The sequence below is a fragment of the Homo sapiens genome, chromosome 15 (genome assembly GCF_000001405.40).
Source record: "Homo sapiens chromosome 15, GRCh38.p14 Primary Assembly".
NCBI classification, from domain to species: domain Eukaryota; kingdom Metazoa; phylum Chordata; class Mammalia; order Primates; family Hominidae; genus Homo; species Homo sapiens.
This window is the reverse complement of record NC_000015.10, coordinates 101841185-101851157: the sequence shown is the minus strand read 5'-3', so window position 1 is coordinate 101851157 and position 9973 is coordinate 101841185. Positions and strand designations below refer to the sequence as shown.

Genomic DNA, 9973 nt, shown 5'->3' with positions numbered 1-9973 from the left:
AAGACAAGATCATGGAGATACATCACAAGATATTTTTGTGAGTGTATAGGACAGAAAGAATATAATATGGAAGGTAACTTTAATATGTGATGGATAAATTAGAAGATAAAATGGATTTTATTTGTAAGTTGATAGTCTGCAAGCAAATGGTTATAGTCCAGGAAAGAAAACCAGGCTAGCTTTTAAATTGATAAAGCCTTTTCAAATATCTGATTTAATCATCATCATAAACCTGTGAGTTCTATTTGCCACCTCTGAATTTTGGAAGTGTTAAATGATTTAAGTAAGATTACACAGTAAGTGAGTTGATGTTATTGAGATGAGAATTTATATATTTTAGCCACAAATTTTGTTCTGTACTATATTGTCTTTCATTTTATACTCTTGTTATAAGACAAACACTGTGATATTTGAGGAAATAGGCAAATCTGTATATTGGACAAAATTTACTTCTGGAGTTGGCAAACTATAGCCATTGGGTCAAATCCGGCCTGCCTCCTGTTTTTGTGAAGTTTTACTGGAACTCGGTGGACAAAATTTACTTCTGGAATTGGCAAACTATAGCCATTGGATCAAATCTGGCCTGCCTCTTGTTTTTGTAAAGTTTTATTGGAACTTGGCCATGCCTATTCATTTATGTGTTGTTTATGGCTATTTCCATCTTACAACAGAATTAAGTGGTTACAACAGAGGCCACATAGCCCACAGAGCAAAAACCATTTCTAATCTGGCCCTTTACAGAAAAGTTTGCCAACACCTGATCTACTTGACTGAAAATAAAGTAAAAAACATTCTTCAACATATGGAACAAAAAAACACAAAAGCAAGCTCTGTGGATTAAAATGTGTACATGACCACAAATCCTAAAGATGTTTACTACTGTTTACTCATAACCAAAAAACTGAGATAACAAGGCGGAACAAATAACCAAAAGACTGAGATAACAAGGCAGAACAAATAAAAATGGAGATATGAGATGTACACAGATAATAAAGCATGATGTTAACAAATATTCCAATTAGAGGGCAGGACAGCTTGAAAACAGCAATACAGTTATTCTGAGAAACAAACTTATTTACACCATTATTTAATCCATGTGAATATTATTAATGACATGATTCTTTGGGAACTAAAAAATAAGAATGAATATAATCTTTGATTTCTATATATTACATATAAAGTCTCTTTCTCTTCGAGGACAAATGTCATTCATTCTTCAGTGGGAACAAAATAGACCCTCCATATGGGCAATGAAGGTCTGTGAGAACTCAAAGTGATGCACAGTATAAAGTCTCTTCATATATATATATAAAATACTGTAAGTTCTAGGGTACATGTGCACAATGTGCAGCTTTGTTACATATGTACACATGTGCCATGTGGGTGTGCTGCACCCATTAACTCGTCATTTAACATTGGGTATATCTCCTAATGCTATCCCTCCCCCAACCCCATGACAGGCCTCAGTGTGTGATGTTCCCCTTCCTGTGTCCAAGTGTTCTCATTGCTATGAGGACTGCCTACTGTGGACTTTCAATAGTCACTTGGAAATTCTGTGTTTTAATAAAGCCACTTAAGTAGTTTTTCTAAAACCCATAAATTGACCGAACACTCTCCTTATTGCAATCTTCATTTCCCTGTTCCTGAATGTGTAGATGACTGGATTCAGAAAAGGAGTGAAAATGGCATCAAATATGGCTAGAAATTTATTCAGATGTGTTGGAGGAGAGGGCCATACATAGAAAAAAATCAGTGGACCAAAGAATAAAACCACAACAGTAATATGAGCTGACAGAGTAGAGACAGCCTTGGATGAGCCTCCTGAGGAGTGTTTCTGAAGAGTGGCCAGAATGAAGATGTAAGAGAGGATGAGCAAGAAGAAAGCACTCAAGGAAATGAACCCACTATTAGCAGTAACCATGAACTGCAGTTTATAGGTATTTGTGCAAGCAAGTTTGATGAGCTGAGGTATGTCACAGTAAAAGCTGTCCAACACATTAGGGCCACAGAAGGGCAAGTTTACTACAAAAGACAATTGGACCAATGAGTGAATGAGACCAATGGCCCAGGAAGCCACTAGAATCAAAATGCACATTCTTGGATGCATGATGGTCAGGTAGTGAAGGGGCTTACATACGGCAACATATCTGTCAAAGGCCATGGCTATGAGCAGCACCATCTCAGTGCCCCCAACAGCATGGCTAAAGAAGATCTGAGCTACACAGCCCCAAAAGGAAATGACTTTCTGTTTCCTGAAAATATCACAAATCATCTTGCGTGCTGCAATGGAGCAAAATGTGAGATCAATGACAGAGAGGTTGGCCAGCAAAATATACAAGGAGGAGTGCAAGTAAGGGTCAGAGGTTACAGTGACCACTACAATGAGGTTTGCCATCACACCGGACACATAGAAAAGACAAGAAAAGCAAAAAAGAAAAATCTTGAGTCTCCCAAGAATTTGAGAGTCCCAGCAACACGAATTCAGACACCACAGACTGGTTGTCCCTATTCATTTGATAAGTTCACTTTCACGTTACCTAAAGAGAAAAAAAAATGAGAAATTTCTAATTAATAGTATTATATTAATAGCCTCTATGAAAAAGTATATAACCATGAAAGTCAAATATTACCTGAGCACCTCATGAATAACAAATGACATTCTTTTGGCCACTACTGCTGCAGTTACATGTGACAGTAACGAAGCTGCCACATGAGCTTGCTAATTTAAGGGATGGTGAAATAGTCTGGTAGATTGGTACCTGTGTTTACCTGTGGAAATCACAAAGAAAGTGCATTTGATGTCAAATTGCTGTATCAGTAAAATCAATATTCACCACCCTCTCCCTGGAGGAGTAATAACTAATGATGATACGAGACAGACAAAGAGGGCTATTCTGTGACATAGACTTTTAAGATCTTGTGACTCAGATTTCTTTGTTCAAGCCACAAATTTTCTTTCCCTATTTTACACTTCTCAAAATATAATTTGTTCTTTAATATCCAGATCAAATAGCACCTCATTTATCAAACCTTCCTTAGGACCCACCAATATACCCAAATGCTTGTTGGTCACATGTCTATTCCCCTATAGAATTATAAACTGCTCAAGGTTATAAATCATCACTCCTTTAATTTTTTATTTCAATAGTTTGCCCATACAATGTGTTGCAAATACTAGGTGACAAAAAAAAGGTTTTTGAGTAAATAAATGATTAGGCTGAAGTAGTTCTTACCTAATAATTTCTTGTATTATGAGCCAGGAACTAAGCACTAGGAATATAGCCAAGAACAAAATAGGTAAAAGTCCCTGTCCTCACAGATTTACATTTTGACAGAAAGAGTCAGACAATTAAATAAATAAATAAAGATATACACAGTGTCAGACAATTATTTCACTGTGGATAACAATTAAGCAAGGAAGAAGAATAGGGCACTAAGGGGAGTGCTATTATAAAACAGGATTAACAATAACATTCTTGCTGATGAGTTGACTGAGCAGAAATCTAAGAAGATGGATGAACAAGTCATGAGGGTGTTTGGGGAAAGAGTACTTCAGGCAGAAATAACAGCAAGAGCAAAAGCTCTGAAATGTAAACTCACTTGACATCTGCAAAGAACTACAAGGAGGTCCAAAAGGCTGAACCTGAGTGTGCAAGGAGGGTAGAGTAGATGAGGTTTGAGAGGTAACAGGTGCACAGATCATGTAGGTCCTTATAAGCCATTGTAAGTACTTTTATCATTACTCTGAATGAGATAACAAGCAACTAGGTTTTGAACAGAGAAACAACAAAATATAGCTTACATTGTTAAAGGGTTACTCTGTCTGTTGCATTGTGAATATGCTTCAGAGTCTCAAGGATAGAAGCAGAGAGATTGGCTAGAAACACATTTTTATCACTAGCAAAAATCCAAGAGATAATGTTGGCTTAGATCAGGGTGGTAGAAGTCGAGCCAATGAGAGGTACTAGATTCTGGAGACACTGAAATGATACATGGTGAAATTTTCAGGCTATAGATAACCCTGACCTTTTGGAGACTATAAAACACTGCATCTTATTAGAGAGTTTTCATACGAAAATACATGAGATCTCAAATCTGTAAAAACACAAACAGTTCTGGTAAACATATATTTGGTCACCAAATCTAATAAGGACTCTAGAATAAGGAAACATTTGGAGTTTTGAGAAGGGAGTCTGAGGCAAACAAAAGGTATAATTCCTTCATATCCACAGGTTCTGCACCTGCAGATTTAATCAGCTTCAGATCAACAATATTTGGGAAAAATAAAGTAAAATGAAAAATAACAAAAAGTAGAAATATGTACCTACTATGTAGCCACAATTTTTTTATTTAAAAAATAAGAAAACAATACAGTATAACAACTACATGCATAGCATTTACATTGTATTAGATATTATAAGTAACCTAGAGATTAAAGTATAAAGAAGAATATGTTCAGGTTATATGTAAACACTATGCCATTTTATGTAGGGAACTTGTGCATCCAAGGATTTTGTTATCCAAGGGCGGCGGGTGGGAGGTCCTGGAATAAATTCCCCACAGATACTGAGGGTCAACTGTAATCTCTTTCAAAGCAAGTAGAAAGCTACGAAACTCAATACCACAAGCAATTATATAGGCTGAAAATGTTGTTATAACCAAGTAGGAATTTTTAAGTGAAAAAAACAAAATATTCTCTATTTACTCTGCCATATTCTCTAAATGAGAATTTAAATGCGCCATTTCTCCTTTTAAATAACTGTTTTGGTTTTCAGACCAATTACACTGAACTCTTTGAACTTGTTTTCCTAAGTAAGGCTGTTTCTGAAACCAAGAAAGCAAGAATAATCTTTCCTTTTGTCACTTAAGCTCCACATTATCAGGACTTTTTTAAGGGCTATCACATCGACTTCTCTATAAGACAGGATGAAATCATCAGCGCAAAAAAACATCTAAGATGCAAATAAACAGAAAAATACTAGATTAATAGAAAGATGAGGTTCTACTTCTAGCCAGGAAAATCTGTTCAGGATAATAATGTCATATCCAGTTAGATTTCATGTAATATCATTTAACTATTGTCAACCATTTTTGTGTGAGACATATACCATTAAAAGTCTGTGCTTAAAACACTACTAATACAGAAGTAATCAACTTCAATTAAATGTGATAAAATATATGTTTTAAAAAACAGAAATATGGGCAAACAGAAAAGAAAAATTCATTTTACTGAGTTGATCACAAATTCCAGTTCTCATCCTGTTCTATATAGTGGCACATTTTCAATAATTTGGCATTTAATGAAAACTTTTTATGAAGAGCATTTCTATTAAATATCCTCTGAAAGTTACTTCAACAGAGACTGCATGGAAGAAAAAACAGTGATAAAGTTTGTTTAGCTATTTAGATGAATTTACATGAAAGCTATCACGTAGAATAACTAAAGTTGCTGCAGAGCAAAACAATTAAACTGTGAATAATTTCCTCAAACATAAGTTCTTCTTTCATGATTAAACTAAGAACTACTTTACAGAAGTATGTTAGTAACGATCAGAGGTGGGGAGTACAGATATAATATATCCAGAATATATCTCCAATGTGCATATTTATTGTAGGAAATACCACAATACAGAGAAATTATGTCAGTCTTATTAATCCAGTGGTTCTCATCCAGGGCATTTTACCTCCCAGGGGACATTTAGCAATGTCTGAAAACGTTTTTAGTTTCCCCAATGAGGGATAATGGGGGGAAGAATACTACTGGCATCTGGTGTGTATAAACCAGGGATACTACTAAATATCCTACACTGCACAGGATAGACCCCACAGCAAAAACTGACCAGCCCCAAATGTCAATGGCGCCAAAGTAGAAAACCCCTGCATTAAACTATGAGCTTCTCTATGTAAAATTCAGTTTTTATATCAATTTATTCCTCACCATCATTCCCGTCACATGGTGTGCTCTAATGAGTGTTTGGTGCGGCAGTGAATGAGTAAGTGGATGAGTAGCTGGATGGGAGAATGGATGCATTGAGGGAAGGAAGGATGATGAAAGATGAATAGATGAATAGACAGTCAAAAGGGAAGCTTAAATGCAACTCAAAAGAAGAAAGGTCTCTAAACAACGCAGACTAGTTATTGCTAGGGACACCGGAAGTCTATAATGACAACACTTTACAAAAAATGAAAGAATGCATCATCGTTAAACAAAAAAACTTGGCTATATACCTAATGTATCCCACGATTTGATAGATAAAATCAGAATTTTTCTAGATGCACAAGCAATAAATCTGAGAAATATGTACTAATGTCCCAAAGGTTCAGATAATAAGAAATAACAAGTCTTTCATAGTTTTGTGTAGATTATTTTTTCTGATCTCCTTCTGGAAGCAGCAGCAGGTATTTAAGCAAATGGAGTTTGGAGAGAAAAAACACAAGTTTAGAATATCTGATATTATCCAAATGTAATGAGCCTGAATGTGATACAAATGATGGAGAAATTGGACAAGGAAACAGGAAAAAATGAATTTTAGAAATGGGCCAGATAGCCTAAAACTGGAAAAGAAGCAAAGCAAATAATTGTATATCACAAGATATTTACAGTGTATTTAACTTGTGTCTTCAGAGTCTCAAAGGCAAAAGTTGCTCCTGGTGGAATACACAAGGCTAGAGAAAGGTATCCCACTGCCCCCTGAAGGGTGTTCAGTGCTCTCTGAGCCATTCTTTGCTCTCAGTAAACTGAGCTTGTTCTAAAAGAATACTTTCAATCTTTGGTTCTCCAGGACTTTCCTCCACCATGCTTTTTTTTTCTTTTTTATTAATTCAAGACTATAAAAGTTACAAATCATAACTTTTTAATATTTGCTCTCCAAACAACATCATTTGATTTGCATATTTATATGAATTTGGTCAGTCTCCCAGAAGAAATTCTTAGCCATGTTAAAATTTATAGTTGAAGAAAATAGATAAAATTAGTATCCTACTAATAAAGGCATAGAAATAAAGCATTGAGGGAGAATTTCTGTCCAGTCCAGTCCACATCAGTGGCATTTCTAAATTATCTAAGTCATACTACTTAAGAATTCAATATTTCTCTTTTTTGGCCATTCCTGTGCTTTATCATTTCAACAGCCCAAAACTTCTTCCCTGCTCCCAGCTGAACTTTCTGGTTATTTGTTTTAAGCCTATGTTCACTTGTCTGTTTCTTTTTAAAAGTAAAAATACAGGTGTCCTTATATCCTCTCATATAAATCATTACCATGCTTGAATTAAGTAATCAAACTAAATTACTCCTTCCTTTCATCTTTCCTCTTACGGTCAATTTTCATGTCCCTGGATTCCTGGATTCCAAAAATTTGTTATTTTACCTGAAATGTATCTACCTCTATTTTACATTGTAATGGCCAAAACTAGAGAGGAAGAAGAAAAAAACAACTAAACGTCCAACGAACTATCATAGCAGAATAATTTATTCCTCCATTAGTACCATTATAACAGTTTTTCTTCTTCACAGTTGAAAATGATATTAAGTGTGTAGTAAGGCATGCAGGTAAGGGCAGGTGGGCTCTCAGAAAGACAGTTTACCGGTCAATTCTTCTCCAAATTCTGTTTATTTCATTTAATTTGGTCCCAAGAAGTGCCACAGAACATGAGTCTCTAGCAGACTTCCTTTTTAAACTTTTCTGCAAAGACAGAGATAGAGCAAGTGGTCTTCACTTTTAACTTCTATAGGTTATTAATTTCCCTTCACGCCTATCAAACAGGTTAAGAAGATTTTTAAATAATAAATCATTTTCTAAGTCACCATTTGAACTCCCAAATCTCTTGCCTCTGCTAAAGACACTGCATTGTGCTGAGTCCAACTCTCCTTCATAGCCTTCCTTTTACTGTGGATACCCATGATACATTTCTACTACCAGGTAAAAGTGAAAGTCAGTTATTTGCCTTTCTTCATGATCTGTAGCCCCTTATGTATGCCCTAATGTGATCTGTTCCTTCTTCCCTACGTTATAACCTACTTGACCACACCAAAATCTTATTTGATAAATGCAAAGAGAGATTCTGCCACTACACTATTTTGCTGAAACTAAATTTCATAAATCAATTTAAATTTTTTTCCTGCTGTTATCTTGACTTTCCATCTTTCCACTTACCTGTTCCCAGACCACATGATCTTCAGGTAATTAGAATACAGGTAACTGAGCTTCTGCTTGTGCCACTTCTATTATATAAAAAGCTAAGAGAATCACAAAAAGTAGTGAATTAACAGCACTGAAGAATACTGACTAGCTGCTTTTGCAGAAACCTGGATTTGCCAGCTTTGTTCATGTGGCCAGGGGAATTGTCCCTGGAACCTGATTGGCTTGGTAAGAACCACCAAAAGAAAAGTCTTGTAATGAGTCCTGGAGAGGAAACAAAACTGAGACTGGATATTTTAAGACCCTCACCCTTGGAGATTTTATCTGCTAAGTCCAACTTGCTCATTGGTGGTTTAAAATTAGGAAGAGGGGGAGGGGCAGAATGGCTGAATAGAAGTCTCCACCGATCACCACCCCTGCCACACACACACACACAAGAACACCACGTCTGACAACTATCTACACAAAAGGAGTAGCTTCATAGGAACCAAAGATCAGGTAAGCACTCGTAGTGCCTGTTTTTGACTTAATATCACTAAAAGAGGCACTGAAGAGGATAGAAGATGTCTTTTCTATCCTCTTGAAATATTGAATTCAGTCTTGAGTTGTGACGCCACCGCTCCCCCCGACCACCCACAGCACTGGGTGGTGGAGATAGGCATAGCACAGCAACTGTGAGGCTTTGCATGGAACTCAGTGCTGCCCTGTCCCACAGAAAGCAGAACAGAGCTGAACTCAGCTGACACTCACCACGGAGGGTGCGTTTAAAAACTGAACCATGAGAACACTTGGACACAGGAAGGGGAACATCACACACTGGGGCCTGTTGTGGGGCTGGGGTTGGGGGCAGGGATAGCATTAGAAGATATACCTAATGTAAATGACGAGTTAATGGGTGCAGCACACCAGCATGGCACAGGTACCCTAGAACTTAAAGTATAATATATATATATACATAAAATTAAAAAAAAAAACAACCAGCACTAACTAGCCAGAGGACATCACCCATCCCTTCAGTGGGAGGATGAGTTCCAGCCAGCCTCACCACCCAGGGCTGGAGGGCTGTGGGGCCCCATATTAACTTGAAAGGCAGTATAGGACGCAAAGACTGCAATTCCTAGGCAAGTCCTAGTCCTGAGCTGGGCTCAGAGCCAGCCGACTGAGGAGGTGGGGGGCACGTGACCTTTGAGACACCAGCTGGGGCAGCTGAGGGAGTGCTTACATTATCCCTTCCCCAACCACAGGCAGAACAATGCACCTCTCCAAAAGAGACCTTTTCCTTATGTTTGATGAGAGGAGAGAAGGGTGAAGAGGACTTTTCTCTTGCATCTTAAATACCAGCTCAGCCATAGTAGGATAGGACACAACGGTCAGCGTCATCTGGCCCTAACTCTCGAACAACATTTCTAGACATACCTTGGGCCAGAAAGGAACCCACTGCCTTGAAGGGAAGAACCCAGTCCCAGCAGGATCCACAACCTACTGCTTAAAAAGCCCTTCGGCCCGGAAGCAGCAGCAGCCATATCCAGGTAGTATGCTGCAGGCCTTGGGTGAGACTCAGAGATGTGCTGGCTTCAGGTGTGAACTGGCACATTCCCAGCTGTGGTGGCTATGGAGAGAGATTCTTCTGCTTGAGAAAAGTACAGGAAAAAGTAAAGGGGACTTTGTCTTGCACCTCAGCTATCAGCTCAGCCACAGAGGGGTAAAACACCAAGCGGACTTTTGGGGTCCTCAGTTCCAGGCCTTGGCTCTGGGATGGCATTTCCGGACTTACTCTGGGCCAGAGGGGAGCCCACTGTCCTGAAGGGTGAGTCCCAGGCCTCATTCACCACAGG

The 9973-nt window shown here is 37.8% G+C and overlaps 1 pseudogene across 1 annotated transcript; it reads right to left on the bottom strand.

The window, feature by feature from the left end:
- Window positions 1–833: 833 nt before the first annotated feature.
- OR4F13P (olfactory receptor family 4 subfamily F member 13 pseudogene) lies at window positions 834–9039 on the bottom strand (annotated as a pseudogene). Its single transcript, NR_046417.1, has 5 exons — window positions 9010–9039; window positions 8154–8236; window positions 7585–7682; window positions 2631–2769; window positions 834–2537 (listed from the first exon to the last, which is right to left on the bottom strand). The product of NR_046417.1 is annotated as an olfactory receptor family 4 subfamily F member 13 pseudogene (transcript).
- Window positions 9040–9973: the final 934 nt, after the last annotated feature.